Source organism: Homo sapiens, chromosome 21 (genome assembly GCF_000001405.40).
Source record: "Homo sapiens chromosome 21, GRCh38.p14 Primary Assembly".
Taxonomy (NCBI): Eukaryota; Metazoa; Chordata; class Mammalia; order Primates; family Hominidae; genus Homo; species Homo sapiens.
Window position 1 is genome coordinate 38,245,692 of NC_000021.9, and position 21,211 is coordinate 38,266,902.

Below are 21,211 nucleotides of genomic sequence, written 5' to 3' on the forward strand. Positions count from 1 at the left end.
GAAAGAAGGAAAGGAAAGAAAGAAAGAGAGAGAAAGAGAAAGGAAGGAAGGAGAAAGAGAATGAAAGGTGTTTACAGCTGGAAATCAAACAGAACTTTGCCTGACACATGTTCATTTTTGGCCATTTTTGCCTTTTTTGTGGTGTGAACCATTAGTTCAGCCCAGTTAACCCTGAGACCACCCACAAAGACTGAATTCAGAGGTGGCTGTCCAGTACAGTGATTCAAGGTGAGGCCTGTGAAGTGAGATCAAGATTTGAATTTCTGCTTCTCAGTTCACCAACTATTTGACCTTGGGCAAGTGACTTAATTCAAGACTTAGTTTTATCATTTATAAAGTAAGAAGAATAATACCTGTCTTACATACTCTGATTTGTTGATATGATAGTCAATATGCTATAAGAATAAATTAATAATTAAATGACACGGTAGACATAAGGCATTTAAATCTAATTCCTGATCCACAGCAAACCTTCAACAAATAGCAGCTGTTATCATCAGAGCTAAAACGAATCATGTATCTAGGCTAGGGTCTGGTTTCTTTGCTGTTTTGGATAATGGCTTAGGAATAAGAATAATGCCCACTGAAGAAGTCTTGATTTTTCTTAAAGCTCTAAGCTCACTAGAGTTTTTTGCGTGTTGCCAATTTCAATCAGATCCAGGAGTATTGGTTACTGTTGGCCTATATGATGAAGATTAACTTTTGGAAGAATCTTTCTGTGGAATGCAGGCCAAAAGAATTCTGAGGCTGCTTTTGATTTGCTTTGAGTTCGTTGCAGCTAATGTGAAGGATGCAAATATTTCTATATTCCCTACTATCTGCTTGGGGTCTTCAAGAGATGAGTTACAGTGACCTGGAGGTAACATTTTAAAAATGCTAGTTAAGATTAGTGTTAAAAACACAGACAAAGTCTGAATCTCTCCAATGCTTGATTTTAATTTTTAAAAAAGAGGAACATATTACAAAGGAAGCAGAATTTCAACATAATCTTTAGATGGTAAATTATGTTTTACATTAGTCTGCATTATTACCACAATACTTGCACCTGGCTGGTATGAGGAGTGTGTGTGTGGGTTAAAGGGAGCTGTTATTTACCTGCTTATCTATCAGACTGGTAATACCAATCTCACTCTGCAAATTTAACATCAGGGATTTACTGTTCATAATAGAATAAATGCATATTGAGAACCACACTTGAACTTAGCCCTTCTGACAGGAAACTTTCAAAGTTAGAAGTTACACTGAGCTTGAATTTTAAGAGAGAGGAAAAGTCATTTAATAAAACTAAAAAATGAAGGATGGATGGATGGATGGATGCATAGGTAGATGGATGGATGCATAAGTGGATGGATGGATGGATGGGTGAATGGATGGATGGATGGATGGATGGATGGATGGATGGATGGATGCATGGATGGATGGATGGATGGATGGATGCATGGATGGATGGATGGATGGATGCATGGATGTATAGGTATATGGATGGATGGACAGATGGATGGATGGATGCATAGGTAGATGGATGGATGGATAAATGGATTGATGGATGGATGGATGGATGGATGGATAAATGGATGTATGGCTAAATGGATAGATGGATAGATGCATAGGTGGATGGATGGATCGATGGGTAAATGGATGGATGGATAGATGCATAGGTGGATGGATGGATGGATGGATGGATGGATGAATGGATGTATGGATAAACGGATGGATAGATGGATAAATGGATGGTTGGATAGATGCATAGGTGGATGGATGTATGGATGAATGGATGTATGGATAAACGGATGGATAGATGGATAAATGGATGGTTGGATAGATGCATAGGTGGATGGATGGATGGATGGATGGATGGATGGATGGATGGATGGATGGAAAGATGCATGCATGCATAGGTAGATAAATGGATGAATGGATATGTAGGTAGATGGATGGATTGATTGAATAAAATGCTGAAGTTAATAGAATCCTCTGTTACTCTGTATGCCCATATGTTCTTCATGGCCACATGTAAGGTTAGCCTTATGATGAAAGATTGGCATCAGTATTGTCATTTTTATTTCAGCTTGTGCCTAGGTTACATGTTCTCATATGTTCCCCATAAACATTCACATGGTCCAGTGTGCAACTATGAAAGAAGCTTCCCATCACCTGTGCCTCCCAATCTCACCCCACTCACTGCAATCTGAGGAAGAAATCCAACACCAAACAAACACTAGAAAGCACCTTGCTGGCGTGGGCTTCCTGTTAACTAAACTAAAATTCCATCTCTAGGACTCAGTGAACTGACAAGTGTTATTGCTTCCAAACTTGGGCTATGTTCACTCCATCCAGGTGCATTTCTACAATTCAAGTAAACATTTTCACTGTAAACTTATTGCTAGTAAGAGCACACCACATCACAAGGAACAGCAAATAGCAGACATATCTTTGCGCCTTCACACAGCAGCACAGAAATTATATCTGGTACTTGATTCAGTGTCAGGTGGTATAAGCACTTCATCAACAAATGAAGAACAGAAGGGGTAACTGAGCAGCGACAAATATTTCGTTAAGTTCTGTAACCAAGATAAGAGATAGATTCTCACACTTGATTGCTGGGAATACACACATCCTATAAAAGCCAAGAAAGTTAGAAAGTTAACTAAGTGGCACAAACTTTATAGCTTATCAGTACAATGCAAGGCACTTCAGGAAAACTGGCATGATAAAGCTTGGTTTCCTAGGAACAAGCTAATTAAATTATATTTATTCAAGTAATCTAAACTATTTAACTATTCAAGTGGTTGGACAATAAAAGAACTAGAATAAGACTCAGAAAAGCCTAGTACCTACATTGCTCTCCCTGGGAGGTGCAGCAGCACTTTGAGGGCATGCAAATTGTTTAAGATATTTTAAGGCAGCTCAGGATCTCTGCATACATTCTAGTGAAAACAGCAGATCTTGAAGGAACTGGAGTGCACGGCTTCTGTGTCCCACAATTCAAACATGAGAGGAGATGAGAACTCCTGTATTATAAGATGGCTTTGCACATGATTGTTCCTAGAGGTGAGTTTTCAGGCAAAACAGAGGGAGCTCCCTGTCTGAGTGCAACCAGCAGGAAGAGGACCTTGATGCTGGCCACCTTTGCCCCTCACCATGGAGCTGCATTCCCTGATGTCTTCTGACAGAACACACGTGGTGCAGGACAATTCCCATGCCTTCCCTTCTCCAAACTGCATAAGGACCCTGGGAGGTAAACTGTTTTTCTCAGTTCACTAGTGCAAAACCATCTCAGATAAGTCAATCCGCTTGCCTCAGATCATTGAGTTAGTAAGTAGCAGCTCTAGAATTTGAATCTATAGCTAAGACCAAACCTACATTTCTCCCTTGCACCCCCAATGGACTTTACTCCTTGCCAGAAAGAAAGAATATAACCATTTAGTGTCCCAAGGCAAGAATTACAGCTTCGGTTCAATTTTGCTGTTGGTGTCCACACTGTAAAATGAGATTTGACTGGCAAGATAAGACATACCACTGAGCAATTTGAAAAACAAAACATAATGACTTTTGCCCAAGAGATTGCAATGATTGTTTAAATTGATAACCCAAGTACTTTTTCTGATGTGCGTACTAGGTGATATATGTTATTTACTGATTGATAAATGGTAAGGCTGCACCTTTAGAATTACTGCTGCCTACTAAGTACACACAGATTTCAGAAGGGAAGTAAGCAGAGGTGAGTTTTCAGTCATAACTCAACTATCACTCTGAGTTAGGGTGACCACAATGGCAAACCAAAGCCAGTGGAACAGAATGGATGACAGATAGGAAATATTCTCCAGCATGTGATCAGGAATAAATGCATGGAGGTGAAACAACTCCAGGAATTTTTCTTAATGAAGAAGTAAAGAAAACACAGTCACTGCATGTCTAGTCTGTATAGGTGTGGTCAAACACCAAGGAAACTAAAGACTGTATGTTTGACTTTAATTTCAGAAGCCTGACTTTGGCTCAGTCATAATTCTCTAGCTTTTATTCTTCAGGTCAGACAGTCAAGGAGAAGAAAAATAAGAAAAACCAGTACCCTATTATTAGGCATTCTTTATCATCTCTTTTTCAGCTGGAGTCTCCATCATCTCTACGTGCACATTTGATAAGCTGAAGTGCAATGATAGAATAAGATGATCTTGGACAGCTTTCTCTTTGAATTCATTTTTAGCTTAATGTATTTGTTGTGGCTTCTCTAGGAAATGTTTGCTGAATTAGCCCCTGTGCATTGCTAGGGCTGATAAGGAATAGTCAAGAGTTTGAGTTCACAACACCCTCTTTCTATACTCCTGCTAGTCCTTCAGTGTGAAGTCCCTTAGATTTTTATGACAACTGGGCTGAGATCTTTCACTTTACGTAACTTAGCCAATTCGCATTGCTCAGTTTTTCCACAATAACTAGAATATTTGGCAAAAGGGCACAATTTTGCAATGGGAAAGCTCCCAAAGTGAAAAACCTAGTTGTTTACCCAGTTCTGCTAATAATAAATACCCAAGATGAGACCTGGGACTTCTCCTAGGCCCTCTTGCATTGATGCCAGGTAGAAGGAGGGGTATTAGTGCAGAATCAGGGTTTGAATGACATTCTTCTCTGTGGATATTAGAGGGATAAACTGTATGGATTGATAGGGAGGTGGTTCAGTATGTTACAAATGAGGACGTTATAGCCTAATAATATCACTACATGCTGGAGCAAATAAAGGGCCATAAAACATGCAGTGTGTACCCAGCTAGCTCTTCCAGAGGCCAAGAACTAAACTTGGAAAAGGGTGAAAGGGGCCTGATCTATGCTCAGGAATTGAAATGTCATAGCAAGAAATATCAGTACAGAAGAGATCTGGAGGTTCACATGCTTCAGACAGTTTGATGGAACTTGGTGATGAAGGACGTGCCGGAATACAGCAGGTAGAATCAAACACCTGGCCTGTCCATTGATATTGCCAACTTGAAAGACAGATATCCCATTGGCTTGGTGATTTGTTTTTAAAGCTGAAATGTGTGATTGATCATCAGTCAAGCACCAATTGACCAATTGCTAAAATATGAAAATGGAAGGAAATGTAGAATGAATCACTACTTTTGTCTTCTCCAGTTGATCTTTGAAATTATTCAGGGTGATAATCGCATTTTCTGTAATATTCTATTTCAAATATTGTAAAGTGGGTCTTGGAGTGTTGGGTTCAAAGTCAGTCTGTTGTAGGTAAGACGTGTCTGGCCATCTGGTAGAGATAGGGTCCACGGCACACATACCTCACAGTCTGGCCTAGGAGCCTCCCTGTACAGTTGATTCAGAGTTAAACCACAATAAGACAACAATAGAAGAGGTGGGGGGTAATACAAGCCAGCATGCCACACATTGATGAATGATCCGGCGAGGCTTTCAAAGCAAGGCGGGATTACTCTGGTTGCAGTGGGCTGGAGAAGGTAACTGTACTTAGCAGATATTGCTTTTCTATTTGCCAGCCCACACTGTCAACAGTGGAAAACAGTCATTATCATATCCCTTCTTTGACGGGAATTGCCACAAAATAGTTCACTTGGTAAAAGCCTGTCTGAGGTGAACCAGGAACAAACGGTGTGTATTTAACATGTGGTGTAAGGTTGCACCAACAATAAAGGAATAAAGTTCAATTTGAATAAGGCAAGAGGAAACCGGATCACCGTTGGGTTCATGTCAGTGGTTGTTTCACAGTTTCTCAATTCTGAAGCCATGCTGCTGATAGGGACCTAGAATCACCAACTAACTCCAGTAGAAGTTTAAAGGACACTTCCATACGGAGCCCCTATAGAGAGAGGCGGGCACTTCATGCACCCAACTTTTAAGTATATACATTCCCACCTGACAAAGTTAGATTTTACAGATGCCGTGGCAAATGTGCACTCAGTGCTAACAAATTAGGATATCAGGCCTGTATTAATGCTTTCATTTTCCAATTATTTTTTATTGCATTTAACAGCTGACTTCAAAAGAGCTGAGGACACACAGAGGAATAGCGTGACCCATCATCGCAATTTGCCAGCGAGTAGGGGATTTCTTAGGATGTGGGACTTTAAGTGTTAAAAACCAGGGCAGTCAGTGGAAAATCAGGATTATTGGTCACCTTACAAAGGAATGACTTGGAGGTAACATTTTTATTAAGTAAGTTTTGCATTTTTGGATAATTTTTGAACCATCTCATTTAAGAAGAATGTGGATAAAATAGCTTCCATGTCTTCCTGAGGAGGAACGCTTTGTGTTGAGGATGGTGGGTGGTGGGAAGATGGGGAAGCCTCCAGTGGGAGGCTAGAGGTTGCTTTCAGCTCCATTTACTTCTCCCAAGGGAAAGCTAAAGGACAAGGGGAGACAGGCGATTCTATAACCAAAGCCATTTTTCTTGTGATTTCTTGCTGTCTAAACTCCATGAGGCTAAGGCTAGAGTTACATTGCTAAACTGTCCCAGAGATCAGATCACTTGGCTCTTTTAATCTTTACTTAAATAATCTTTAATTATTTGCTCTTCATTTTTCCTGGAATGTCAACAACCCTACTTTGTCTCCACCTATGGAAATCTTGTGGGCTGCACTCAATTGTTCCCACCTCTGGAAGGCTACCTTCAAACTCCCAGGTAGAGTAAATTCCCCTTCCTGTGGGCTTCTAGAATATTATGGTCCTATAACACTTATCACACAATATCATGGTTAGCTATTTGTCCATCTTTCTGCTGAACTATAATTTACTCCAGTTTAGGAACTGGAGGGTCTTTGGAACTCAGCAAAAAGAAGACATCTGATTTAGTTACTAATCAAACTAAATTGACATGATACCAATAACAAAGGTTTCTATTAGTAACAAGAAAGCCCTGCTAGGATTCTCCTGGCATTTTGAGGAAAAGACTATATGCATAATAAAATCTCGTGCATCTTAAATGGAATTCCACATTTTAGTGCTGAAATTCACGATTTTATTTTAATTGGGAAACTGACAAAGTGGAGGAGGATGGGAATATTGAGGGATTGAGGAGCAATGATTAGGGGTAGTAATAGCACCTGCACCATGGATTGCAAAGCATTCTATCACTCACAGGATTAACCATCATAGCCAGTGCTGCTGGGAGTCTTCCCCAAGCCCTGTGAATGTTCTGCACTGCTTCTGAGAGCCCATTCCTGTGCTTCTCTGTGTGTATTAATTTTAACAGCCTGCTGCCCCTACCACCATCTTCATAAGATTGCCCTTGGGCTATGGGAGCCACTTCCATTTCCATTGCAGATGCAGGAAGCCAGAGCCCTTGGGAAATTGCATGCTCCCATCACCCTTTCTACTCTCAGTCAAAGACTGATGGGCAGCATCATGAAAGCCCAGCTCTCTTACCTAGGATGCTATTTTCACTCCAGAACTCCCTCCCCAGGATTAGGCAGGGACTGGGTCTTGTCCTTGTCCTAAAATTGTACCCTGGCTTCTTCCCTTCCTGACTTGCTTTCCCCACACCACTTTGGGTTCCTCCTGGGAGTACTACTTTAATAAATTGCCTGCGCATTTTTGTCTCAACGTCTATTTCCATATAATCTACCTCCAGACAAGATTTTAATTTTGTGGCTTCCCAGGACAAGCTTCTTGCTAGAAAGACCCAAAGGCAAGTAGGTCCTCACCTCTGGCCTGTGAGGTCTGGAAATGGGTACACATTATGCTCCAAGACTCACCTATATTCCAAGGAATCATTTTCAATGCCTCTAGGATAAGGATGGTGAGAACAAACTGGAGACAGCTGGCCATATCATGATGCACCTGTGGAGGGCTCTTTAAGCTGCTAGATTCATGGAAGATTCTGAGGAAGTTTTAAGAACTGTTGTAAGCTTCCATAAATAGCTCCATATCTAACCCAACTTAAATAGAATTTATTCCAAGGTAAAAATATTTTTTCCCTCTCATCACACTTTAAGGTTTTTTATGTCTTGATTCAAGCCAAGATGAGGATTGGAAACATTATAGCATTTTTTTTTCTTTTTTGGAAATTATTCTTGGGAAACAGTTCTCTTGAAAAATTTGGTTCTTGTGAACTCTTCTGCCCAGTATTCAGATGTCATTTCAGATCTTCATAGAAAAATCCAGACTTCTATGTATTTTCTATGCAAATTTGACACAACTAAGAGTCTTTCCGTTAACTGTGGAGGTGGGGGTTGGGGAGCAGAAAGAAGTAAACACAACTTACTGAATAGTCATTTATATTTGTTTTTATCTTCGGCTAAAAGGTCAGTAAAATTAACCATGTTCAATTATGAAATGATTAGCTATGTTATTTCATGTAATCTTATACACTAGATTTCCCACTTTACTCCTTAGAACCAGAATTGTGAAACAAATTTTACTCATTGGATGAGAGAGAGATTGCATGGCAGAAAATATTATTTTGTCAGGATTAACAGTTTGTCCTATTTCCCTTAGTTAGTTTCAGAAATTTCCAGAAATACTTAGATCATTCAGTTGTTAAAGCATGCTTAACAAAGCCTGGCCTCTATGACAGAAGTCACATAGACGCGCATTTTAGAATTTCCCCACTCACCTCTCAACCCTGCAGTCATACATTTATAATGTCTCATCTCCTTTGGTAAACTGTCAGATCTGCAGCCTCAAAATCTAATTGTTGACATATCACCAAATGAAAAGTAACAAAAACAGGTAAACATCACCAAAATGAAGAACATTGTCTTAGCATTTAAACTTTAAAATGTATTTCTACTACTCTGGACTCATTTTTTCCTTCCATCATCTTTAAAATTGTTATAAATGAGTATCTGCTCCACTGTGTATGGTCCTGCAAGAACTAAAACTTCCCAGAGTATTAAACTGTGGTTAAAATTCATGCAGTATGTAACTCGATGCTGAGAAGAAGCTACATATGCATATGTATGCTCAAAATATAAGAATTTAAGAAAAATGTACGATAATGAAAAATGCATGGATTGAAAGTGAAAAGAGCTGTTTTGAGCTTCAATTCATCGCTCTGTAGCTGTGTGACTTTGCACAAATCACTTATCTTCTTTGGCTTCCATCTCCTTGCCCTTAAAATACAACTAATCATGCCTACATTTTGATCTGAGCATGGACTTAACAACATTTCTGGCAGTGTTTTACAAATTGAAAAAAAGGTGTTCAAATGTTAGTTTATTAAGTAAAGCTTAGGCTGGAAATACAGATTAAATATAAGGAGATAATTAAAGTTCCACGGTAACAAATCATGTCTTCCATATGTAATCTTTTGTCAACCCACTTGACAAATATGCATATTTTTTGAGGGACTATGATGTGCCAGATATTGCTGGAAAGATGTTTGGTGAATAAGACAGGTACCATTGAGCTCTAGACTGGAACACAGATGGTAAATGGAAAAGCTTGAGGGCAACTTCAGACAGTGATAAGTGAGATACACAACAAAAGGAGTCTTGGGGCACGGACTTGGATCAGGACCAGATCAGATAAGGACCTCCCAGAGGAGGTGCCATTCAGGCTAGGACCTGAACAATGAGTCAGCTCAGTGAATGAAGGCCAGAGGGGACCATTCCAGGCCGAGGAAACAGCCCCTGCAAATCATCCCACCTGAGCAGCTGGTATATACTCAGATCCTTTAATTCTCAGTTTTCCCTCTTTCATCGTTCTGCACCTCTGTGCTTACCTGTTTTCTATGGGACTTTTAGCATATCCTCGCGGGAGGTCTATCTGATTCTAGACTCCGGGAGTACCAGCTCTAAGAAGTCCAAATCTCGTGTAGCTTCTTCATCCTCCTGCCCTGAACCCCTGGGAGCCCAGTGTCTTCTTTCCAGGGCCACCATTTATACTCCCAGGCTGAAAAGGAGTCCCTTGCTTCCAGGGAAAGAAAGAGCAAAAGAGAAGGAGACTGAGGCATACCATCTCCACTGGGAAAACAGAAATGGAATGATTTATGCCCTGAGCTTTGAGTCAGCAGGGAGAGGGGGGAGAAAATAAGGAAGTCTCAGCCCTTCCTTCCTAAAGACAGAATGACACCCCATCCCTTCCAGCTCCCACTTAGTTCAAGCACCCAGAACAGCAGCAGCTGCACTTGGGGTGAATTGCAGAGCCCAGTACTCTGGGGAGAGGAAGTATCATTCATTTCCAACAGAAGCAAAGTGTTCCTCACCCTGTCTGCTCTATGTCAAACCAGATGCCGTGGTCTGGCCCCACCGACATGCCTGGGCAGGGGACGTGTGGGTATATCATCGTCTCCCATGGGAAACAGACCGTTTGCGTCTCTTGGCATTGCCTTTGGACCAGTGTAGAGGGCTCTCTCTAGGGGAAGTGCTTTTGAAAAACCCATTCCATCTCTTAGGATTGACCACGATCCCCATGCAGTCTGGCCGTGAGAAGGCCAGGAGAGCACATGAGCCTTGGACGGGCCTCCCTTGATGTGGTGGCTGCAAGAGTCACTTTGCATAGGATGGACATATAACCCCATTCCCGAAAGAAGCTTACTGCCTCTGCTTCCAGAGATCTTCCATTAGAAGCCTTCTTCAAGGATGGAATTCTGACCATTTCTCATAAAGATGCCAGACTATGCAAGAATGCTGGAACTCAGATTCCAACATGTATCCCGAAGCCCAATTTCCATGATCCAGAAGAACCAAATTTTGCCCATGTCTATTCAGCTTATATATATATATATATATAATATTTATCAGGGAAAGCAGGGCAATAGAAAAAAATCAGCTCAATAAAGGGGTTGAGCTAAAAACATGAGTTTTCCTCTGTGGCATTTTGCTTAGGTATGTTTGACATAGGTATAGTCTGTATGGATTCATTCTGATTCCACCAGGAGGCAAGAGATTTTGTTAATATTCATTTGGGGAGGAGAGAGGAAAGAGAAAAAGAAAACATGGGATAAAGGAGAGATTGTTAGAAAAGGTAATCTGGTTATTTATTTATAGTTTACTTAGCCAAAGGGACCTTAAAATGCTTTGATAAGAATGGCCAAAGTTTCTTCAAAGATTAACTGGCATTCTTTAAAAAGGCATCAGTTTTCTTTTGCACAGGTGTTTGGAGAGCCCGGACTGGATGCCCACTAGAATCCTGTGCTGGTTTGTAGATTTCCTTAAGACCTTAAGACATGCTGACATCATGGTCTCCTTTCTCAGATTCCTTCTCTCTTTTTCTCTTTCTCCCCCACTCTCTCTCTCTGTCTCTCACTTTCTCTCCTTTCCTCCCTCCCTCCCTCCCTCCCTCCTTCCCTATCCCTCCCTCCTCTGCCCAATGTCTCCCAATCTCTTTCCTTTCTCTCTTCAGTTCCTCCAGGTAATTCTTACTCAAACTTGTACCAACTTGTTTTTGACTGACAGTGAACAGTGAGAGAGTTTTCTTCATTTTGAGGAACCCTAAACACCTATCTTTCCCAAGGCAACCTGTCTGGACTGAGCATTTCTCTGACTTGACATAACTTCCCATCCAGCCAGGAGTCTGCACTCTTCAGTCTTTGCAGGTAAGAGGTACACGGCGCTTATGTTAACTCTGGGGCATGTGGCACGCTGGAGGTATTTTTGAAAAACTTTACTTCTAAAGGTAATGAAAGCGTTGTGATTCTTTTAAAGCTTATTTAAATCATTTAAGACGCCCGTGCTTATCTGGGGGAATTTACAAGTGCTGTTTGCATGTGGAAAACGGGATTTTACTTAATGATGGGACAAAAAAAAGTGTTTTATTCTTGCTCGTGAAACAATATCCAGATGTCGTCTTGTTTGCGGTGGGTGTACGGGGGTCTAGCTTGCGGGACAAGAATTACTCCGACTTCTCTTTGCAAGGGTCTGTCAGAGCAAGTTTGTTGATTTTCAGCGATTACATAGTTCTTTGGCTAATTCTGAAGCAGTTACTTTCCTTTGTCAATGGGGAAATCAGTTTAGATTGCCGTAAGGCGAAACCTCGCCGGAATATTTTAAAATCTGTTACCTATCCTTTTGAGAAAAGTTATGTAAGTTTTCTGTGGTAGGTGTAAGGAATGTAAACGATCCTGAGTTTGGAAATATTATGAACTTTGTTCATGACCCATGATTAATATGTTTTTTAATCTGTGTATAATTTCATGAGAGTTTAGACTATCCTCAGCTAATAAATGTTATACTGGGTGAAATTTCCACATTGCTCCTGTAACGCCAACGTTTGTCTCCTCTGTACTTCCGCATTTAGTCACTTGAAGGAAATAAGAATTTATTGTTCAATAGACATTTCTTGACCTCATAATTTCTTTTAACCCACAGGTTAGAAAACTTACAACGAATGTAGTATTTGACTGTGGAAAACTAAAGACCAAAAATGTGTACCATTAATTCAAATGTTTAGATTTATCTTTTTCCCCTTTACCTGTAAGAGGGATTTTGAAAAAAAAAAAATCCAAGTGATTCTTAAAATTCATTTTTTGCAACCTCAAGATCACAAGCACACACTCACACTCATGCACAATCAACTGTTATCCCCAATCCTATCTTCTTTTGTCCTCTTGTGAATGTTTAAACAAATATGAAACAATCGGTAGTAATAGCCTTAGGTGACAAATTCTCTCCTATTTAAAATTGTCCTAAAAATCAAAAGAAAAGTGTCCCATAAAGCTATAATACATTTTTAAATATCATCATTTTGTGAAAACTAAATACAGTATCAGAGACACTTCCAGCCGATTAATTAGGTAAGTAAGCACTTACCTCACACACAGCTTCCCCGGGCGCTGTTCTTTCTTCCCATACCTTCTAGGGTTTTACTTTTTAGCAGTTTTTCTCCTTCTCTGTTAATATAATAAGTGACCATCCAGGGAATGGCCCAGAGGCCACAAGGCAAGTCTTCCCAAAATACTGAAGATTAGAAGAGTTTAACCAAATTCCTGGTAGCAGCATGTCAGAAACGCTCATCAAATAACGGAACAGACCTTTCTTCACTGAATTAAATAAATGTATAAATAGTCTGGGGGTTTTACAGAAATTGCCTTAGTTGAACTTTGTGATTCTGGTTGCTTAAGGAAAACACATTTTTCTAAAACGTCCTCTCTCCATGTTTCCACTCCTTCCTCCCACCAACAGTTGTGGTCATTTTACAGAAAGTCTTATTTCCCCAATTTCCTCTCCTCACACTTCTCACCAGTGCAGACAGCCAGTGTTTTGGGGGGAAAGAGAGCGAGACCCCAGGCTGCACATGCCAGCAAACCTGAGAAGCCAACAAAAGCAGGTCTCTGGGCTCTTTCCCATAAGGCTCAGCACAACCTCACTCTGCTTCTGCATCGAGGAAATCTCGAAAGGGCTGTGCTTTCTTGGGGCGTGTGTGTGTGTGTGTGTGCGCGTGTGTGTGGTGTGTGCAATTATATACCTGAATAACAATGACATACTCGTTATAAGAAAACTCACCAATATGTGGCTTTAGGCACGGAATAGAGAGGCAAAGTTATTCGGATTTAATCAGTACATGTCAAATCTTTGGAATATCCTTTCCTGTGCAATCCCCTCTCATCTGTTTAGAGACTCAAAGCAGCCCACGAAGTTTTTTGCATACTTTGCCTCAGAGTCCAGGATTGCTTATGAAATGTATTTGTGTGGTGGATGCGTCAGAGTCTTAGAGCCAACATAAGAGTCCAGAGACTGAGCTGTAAGCATGATAAAGCTGTCAATGACTGGCCCGTGGGAATGCTTGTTGAAGGCATATACACCTCCCTAATCATTTTCTTCAGTCTTTAATATGTAAGTGATACAGCTACCGTTATTTTTTTCCCTGCAGCAATTCAAGCATTGCACCCCGGATTAAATCATGTATCTCTAAATATGTTGTTTTAATTCTTTCAAGTAAAAATAATTCCACACCGAAAATTGTCAGAAAGCCATTACATGAGTTAATATTAACTTTTATGTCTGCAAAGATGAGTTTGTTGCTTATTCATGGGCAAATACAAGAGGCAAGTCAGACAGAGGTTATTGTCTACCTTCTCTCTCTTCTGTCCTTTACCTTTATCTCATAAAAGCCACCTCAGGAGTGGGGCTTTTGGTGCAGCTGATGGTGGGATAAGGCCGGGGAAGTCTGGATCTAGAACAAAGTGAACCAAGGGTGAGCCTTATTCTATGCCCCTCAAGGATGCAGTGCCCTGGAAGGAGACAGGTCTGACTGAACACACCTGGCTCAGGTAACTTCCTGGTGCCAGTTTTGCAGACAGGTGAAGGAGCAGTGTGACCCGGTAGTAGCTCCAGAGACAAGCAATCTAAGAAGTGCTAAATCTTCCCTAAAAGAACACAAGGAGCCTGCTCCTACCTTTAAAAGGAGAACTAAGGGCAGAGAGGGAGAGAAACTAAGTTATAATTTATAAATAAAGGTTTATAAACATTTAGGAAATGCAACTTCTTTCTTGGATCCTTTATTTATAAGTTCTGACTTAGTTTCTCTCCCTCTATGCCCGTGATTCTCCATTTAAGAAGTTTTATTTGCTAAATATTACTCTGTTGAAATGAAAGAAAAAAATGAGGGGGTAGATATTTCTGATAAAAAGGCCAGGCGAGAAAGTTGAACTTGACAGGTGTAGCCTCTGGAACACGTCTCTGGATGAATTCAGATGATAGTAGGGGGATCTCCACTCATCGTAATGCAGCTGGAATACACATAGTGAATTCTGTCACATGCCCAGGGAGAATTTCAGTCAGAAACATCTGTGCTGTTTTCACAAGGGAAAGGTCAGAACTCCATGAGTAGTTCATGTGTCTGCATTTCTTTTGATGGGCATTGTGCCTCAACTAGAGAAGAGATCAATAAGCCAATAGCCGCCACTATCCAATTTGAATCCAGAAGTTCACACAACCTAATTCCAGAATACAGTTTGTGCTTCTAGATGAAAAATTCTAAAGCACAAGCACACAATTCCAGATATTTTAGCCACTATACAAAGATGAATCAGGGTCACGTGATCATGCTCACGTCAGAAGATGCAGGAGAAGGACAAAGTTTTGCATTTTGGTACAAAACACGCATGTGCCAGCCACCCGATTCGTTTCCAGTAGGGAGCAGTTGAGTGGAAGGTCATGTCTGCACTACCTTAGGACTGAGGACCTACAGAGGGAACACTGGAAAGAATTAGCAACAGAATAAGCCAGGTTCTGTTTGATTCTGTCTCTCCCACCCTGCAGCTCCAATTCAGAGCAGTCTTAATGTGCAGGGATCCGCATAGAACCAGCCAAGCAGGGCCTCTCGTAGTAGCCTGACCAGAAGTCACAGAGGCTGTGTAGGCCACTCATTCCCTCATTCAGAGTTCAGACATCCTGAGCCTGCCCATGTCCCTGAGATTACAGATAACACGAATCCTCAGAGTCACCGCTGGGCCATCAAAGAAAAAAGAGGGTGACGCAGAGAGGGAACACTGCAGGGGAGGAATGCAATTCTTAGGGTGCTCTGAGGACCCAGGTGCCTGGGTTTGGGTTTCATTCACATCCTGCTTCAGTCGGAGCTGCCCTGGTGTTGGGCGGATGGCTATGGAACTCATGTGCATTTTCTTTAGTGTCTACACTGGAGGCTGATGAAGATTTTATGGACCCTTAAGATTGCACAATTTGGGGGCTTTCTTTAGAGAAAACAAATGCAAAATTAGGACTGTACTATTAAGTACAAGGATTTGGATAGGACCTGGGCAAGTGAGGAACCCTGAAGCTGAAGTTTCATTAACTTCTTGATAAATCCACTCTGTGTCATACATAGTAAAGCCCTGATACTTGTCTCTTGAATGAATGGTTGAATTAACTTATGTAAATTTTAGCTGCTGGCTGCTCTCTCAATAACTCTGAAAAATGATAAGCAAAAAATACCTATCATGTTTATCCATATCTAGTGATCAGTGATATATGGAAAACCAATCTTAATGCTATCTAGAATGTTTCTTGTTTCATTGGCACCTTGCCATGAAAGGTAGGTCCTTGTACTGTAGTTGAACCTTTAGGTCATATCTCAGCTCAAGGGTAAGATGCTATCAAAGCTGCTTTTCCTATGGTAGAATATGTGAGTACTGAAATTAACTGTGCGCTTTTTCCACCTGAAAAGCCCCCAACTTAAAACCTAAAGAACGTTATGCTAGTTGTGCCACTAGACCCTAGAATGGTATTGAATGCATGAATAATAAGCATCTTCCTGAGCAGACTTGAGGGCTTGCCCCAGTGGAATATCTGTGTCTTTGGTGAGAAGCCTTCCTCTTTTTTCCTTAGTTTCTATTAACGCTGTTTCCAATTTTCAATAGCAGTTAATTGTGTCATTTCTTGGTAGAAATGCTGGCTAAACCCATGCCTACCAAGCCAAATAATGTTCTCACTCAATGATGTTTACATTTTCAAATATTTGCAGATTGATATCTTGCTTCATCTTAGACCTCTTTGCCAAAAAATACAAGGTCAGCTCCCTGAATCTTGCTTTCTTATTTCCTGAGTTATCCTTCATGTCTATTCCAACCTTTAAAGGACAAATTTGAAAAGTTTATCCTCTGCTTTGAAAGTTTATGAAATTTGTCATCATTTGTACTCTTCCTACCAACGCCATTCTCACATATCTGCTAGGAGGTAAAGAAAATATAATGAATCCTGGAGCACCTGGCTGCTGTGACTAGCATGCTCTAAATACTAAGAAATAAGAAACCTGCCCTGTCTTTTTTATATTGTCAGAAGTTTGTGGAAAGAATTTATATATGGACAGTGAGCTGTATTACATACAGACACAAACATACAAGTGACAAAAGCAGTGTGGGTGTGTATTTAGCTAGGACATTAATAACAAAACTGACTGTGTAGGTATAGAGAGGCTATCCCAATGTCAACAACATCAGAATACAATGGTACTGTATTTTGAACGTCTTGTTTAATATATTTCAAATCTATAATTTTGACTTACAGTCAAAATTAAACATTAAGTGCACACAAAACAATTACCCTTTAAACAGTATTTTTAAAAAGTGATGTCATAGTGACATTGACATCTGACATCTTTTTTTTTTTTTGAGATGGAGTCTTGGTCTGTCACCCAGGCTGGGGTGCAGTGATGTGATCTTGGTTCACTGCAACCTCCACCTCCCGGGTTCAAAGATTCTCCTGCCTTAGTCTCCCAAATAGCTGGAATTACAGGCACCTGCCACCACACCTGCCTAATTTTTGTATTTTCAGTAGAGATGGGGTTTCACCATGTTGGCCAGGCTGGTCTTGAACTCGTGACCTCAGGTGATCCTCCCACCTCAACCTCCCAAAGTGCTGGGATTACAGGCCTGAGCTACCGTGCCTGGCCGACATTGATATCTTAACGTCACTCCTTAAAACGAGTTGGATATAATGTCAAACGACTTGATTCTTGTCAACAGGAATGCTGTGATAATCTGATTACGGAAGACTCAGGGTCTTGGTTCCTAGGCCCTAGGGACAGAAGAAGGCTAGCTTCTCCCAGACAGGCCAAAGCTGCTTTGAGGAGGGAAGGGGAGGTGAAGTCTCCACTCCATTGCCAGCAGGACACACCTGCCTAGGAACTGGGGGAGAACTCTCAGAGGCTGACCCTATACTTCCTGTCTCTGGAGTCAGGGGACAGGGGTGATTCTGCTGGTCAGAAGGCAGGAGGGAGTGTCCTGAAACACAATTGAATTTGACAGCAAAGCACTGTCTATCCTGGGAAGTTCTGCTGGTGAGCGGAGTCCTGTGAGGGTCCTGGTAACCCTATCCCTGCAAGAAATAAGAAGGTCTGCACTCAAATAGGTTCAGAAAACCTTTCCTAGTTTAGGCCCCTCTTGAATCTTCACAGCAATCATTAACATTTTAAAAACCCCAAGAAGTTCTGCAGCAAAGACGTTCTTTAACTTTGAATCCAAGTTGTACATCCATTTTGGACCGCAGAACTGTCCACCACCTCCTCCCTGACCACAACTATGATTCCCTCCTCTGACTAACGTTTCACACAACCCCACGGGGGATGCTTTGGCCAACTGTGATGGGTGTGGAGTGGCAAGGCATCGTGCGATCCAAAGAACATGTGTGATGTCCAGGCTCCATTTAGGTGTAAGTTGTACTACTGGGGCCTGACTACCTCTGCATGTGACTGGCCAGCCTTCGGGATTGCGAAGTGGCTGCTTACAGTCAGCCCCAAAGAATTTTTTTTTACTTTCTTTCTGTTTCTTTATGTCCACCTTATTCCTAAAAGAATTTAAGTGAATTTACAAAGATACATACACACACACACACACACCATGAAATAAAAGAGGAGGAAAATAAGAGTAAATGTCAAAAAGGCCATTTGATTAAATCATTTACTTACATAAATTTGAACTATTTTTAAAAATCACAGTTGAGTGCACACAGATCCACAGTGCCAGAATCTTACTTTTGAGCTCAACATTAAATATAGATCTTAACTACATCTGAACTTAACTTAGCTTCCTATTTGAACCTGGGAATCAACTGGGCACTCACTGAATGTAGTTTTACACGCACTGTATTTTACAATTCTTTTGAAAGACAATGTCCATTTTCCTCTGTGGATCTTTTAAATTTTATTTCACCTTTTACACCCCTTTATGTATAATTTGTTTATACTGAGATTGTAAACTTTCTTCATTGGCTTAGACTCAGGTCTGGCACTAGCCTAAGGGACTAATCTCTGGTCCATCAGGCCTGGGCTGGGAACCCTCTGTGGGATTCCCTCCCCATTCCCGGAGATAGCTGGTTCGCCCTGCTTGGCCCCACTTTACAATGGCCTGCTTACTTGTCCCTTTTCCCTACAGGGCTGCAAACTCTTTGACAATGGAGATTTTATGTAGTTATTTCTTTGTGCTTTCAGGGCATGGCCCAAGGTATTCTTCAAGCAATATGTATTGAATCCACAGGCACTGACATGAAAGGCATAATTTTTGCTATAATTACATCTTTACTTTCACCATGAACTTACATCTACCTCATCCTGCAAACGCACAGCAGAGACCTTTTTATCTGAAGTCTTTTGAAAATATGTGTATGTGAAAATGGCTAACTGGTGTGTTCTCTCCCTTGGTGAATATTACAAAGTGATAGATTGGCTGCTAGAATTGCGTAAGTGGGGTTATTAAGGAGGGAGACATCTTATTAAGGAGTGACAAGAAACAGGGAACCATGTGCTTAAGATATAGAAGTTGTGTAAACCCAACAGAGGAGAAATAGAAAACATGCAGGTTATTTTGGAAAGAAGAAAATGAAGACACTTGAAATAAAACAGAAAAGTAAATACGGAGCCAGCAGGGTTCAGCATGGGAGTGTGGGCTGGAAGTCTGATTCTGAGGAAGAAAACAAGGGGAAAAAATAAAAGAAAGAATATACTGCAATCCCAGGCTAGAAAGGGGTGATTTGATCCATGGAGCAGCAAATGCAGAAAACAACAAAATTAGCATCATTTCAGTCTCCTTCAAACGCTATGTCTAGATCTGGCTTGTGTTAGCATACCTGTGGCAATAAAGGTATTTGGCTCTGAATGTGTTTTAAATTTTAAATTGAAGAGAATTTTCTAACATTTACCCATTTTAAAGATGAAATATTATAGGACTAAAACTTGTAAGGGCCACTTTTCTGTGATTACAATCAAGCGAATTTCATTGCAGCTGGGAGCAGCCTATGCCAGTATATGGCATTTCAGAGTCTAGGGCTGCATAAGGATATGTACATTTAAACATGAATTGTATAATTATGGATATTAACATGTCTAGTCCAATATCCTGGGAATGTTCCCTAAATGATACTTTCTGCACAGCACTTTGCTTAGTTTTCAGTATCTGAAGAAATGGTCTGACTTGCTAGCCCTGTGGTTGGTAGAAATGTATATTTGATGGGTTTTTAAATCAACTCTCACTCAGATTTTGAATAGTCAGGCTTTAACCCTCAGTGATCTTCACCAAGTATATTCTTGCCAAGGGCTTACTCTGCAGGAGGCTGGGTGGTCCGTCTTATGTCGATTTAGAAGATATAAGTGACATCAAGGACTCAAGGAGCCTCCAGGCTGCTGCTGGACAGAGGTGTGGATAGGAAGACATGGAGGTAGAGAAACAGTAAAGAAAAACACCCAAAGCACAAGAAAGGCTGCAGTGTCCAGCAGAATGTGATGACATTGACATGAGAGGCCCTGACAAAGTTCCAGGGAAAGTCAGAGAGGGAAAGACCAGATCCCTTTGGGATGACTGTAAGAGGCACTGGGACATTTGAGATGTGCCTTGCAGAACAAGACGACTTCCAGGGTCAGGACGGGGAGAAGCCTTCAGAGCAGGAGGAGTTACCATGCACCAGCAGGAGGGTGCGGGAGGTCGGCAGTGTGCACAGGGGCTGAGCTTACTGCAGGGAAAGAATGGGAGAGTGAGGGCCACAGTCAGGACAAAGCTGGCAGCCAACAGTGCTGAGCACTCCTGAAAGGCCAGGCAGGGCTCTAAGTATTTCTTTTTGTTTGTTTGTTTGTTTATTATACTTTAAGTTCTGGGATACATGTGCAGAATGTGGAGGTTTGTCACATAGGTATACACGCGCCATGGTGATTTGCTGCACCCATCAACCCGTCATCTACATTAGGTATTTCTCCTAATGCTCTCCCTCCTCTAGCTTCCCACCCTGCTGACAGTACCCAGTGTGTGATGTTCCCCTCCCTATGCCCATGTATTCTCATTGTTCAATTCCCACTTATGAATGAGAATATGCGGTGTTTGGTTTTCTGTTCTTGTGTTAGTTTGCTGAGAATGATGGTTTCCAGCTTCATCCATGTCCCTGCAAAGGACATGAACTTATTTTTTTTATGGCTGCATAGTATTCCATGGTGTATATGTGCCACATTTTGTTTATCCAGTCTATCATTGATGGGCATTAGGGTTGATTCCAGGGCATTTGTGTTGGTTCCAAGTCGTTGCTATTGTGAACAGTGCTGCAATAAGCATATGTGTGCATGTGTCTTTATAGTAGAGTGATTTATAATCCTTTGGGTATATACCCAGTAATGGGATTGCTGGGTCAAATGGTATTTCTGGTTCTAGATCCTTCCATGGCTCTAAGTATTTCTTAATCCTCACACAGGCAGGCTTTCTTGCTAACCTCTTTAGAGATGAGGAAAGCAGGGTGCAGAGGTTAAGTAACACGCTGAGGACACAGGCTTCAGAGAGGGGTGAAGCTGGCCTTTGAAGCTAGGTTGTCCATCTCTAGAAGCCACACCCTTAAGCCTCTGC

General features: G+C 41.2%; 1 protein-coding gene and 1 long non-coding RNA gene across 9 annotated transcripts in view; one reads left to right on the top strand and one right to left on the bottom strand.

Moving 5' to 3' along the window:
• KCNJ15 (potassium inwardly rectifying channel subfamily J member 15) overlaps positions 1–21,211 on the top strand; it is a 77,432-nt gene that overhangs the window by 15,766 nt on the left and 40,455 nt on the right. For 3 of the 7 annotated variants that reach the window (NM_001276436.2, NM_001276435.2, NM_002243.5), the window contains exons 1-2: positions 11,050–11,096; positions 11,355–11,494. The exons of 1 other annotated variant lie outside the window; for it this stretch is intronic. The gene's annotated coding sequence lies outside the window, so the exon portion shown is untranslated. Of the gene's footprint in view, positions 1–11,049; positions 11,097–11,299; positions 11,495–21,211 lie in introns of those variants that run through there. 3 more of the 7 variants (NM_001276439.2, NM_001276437.2, NM_170736.3) reach the window with 3 other exon arrangements.
• LOC105372801 (uncharacterized) lies at positions 6,500–9,963 on the bottom strand. 2 transcript variants are annotated; one of them, XR_937708.3, is made up of 3 exons: positions 9,680–9,963; positions 8,570–8,643; positions 6,500–8,171 (listed from the first exon to the last, which is right to left on the bottom strand). It is a non-coding gene; the product is annotated as an uncharacterized LOC105372801 (long non-coding RNA). The 2 variants fall into 2 exon arrangements; XR_007067863.1 differs by having other exon boundaries at positions 6,500–8,643.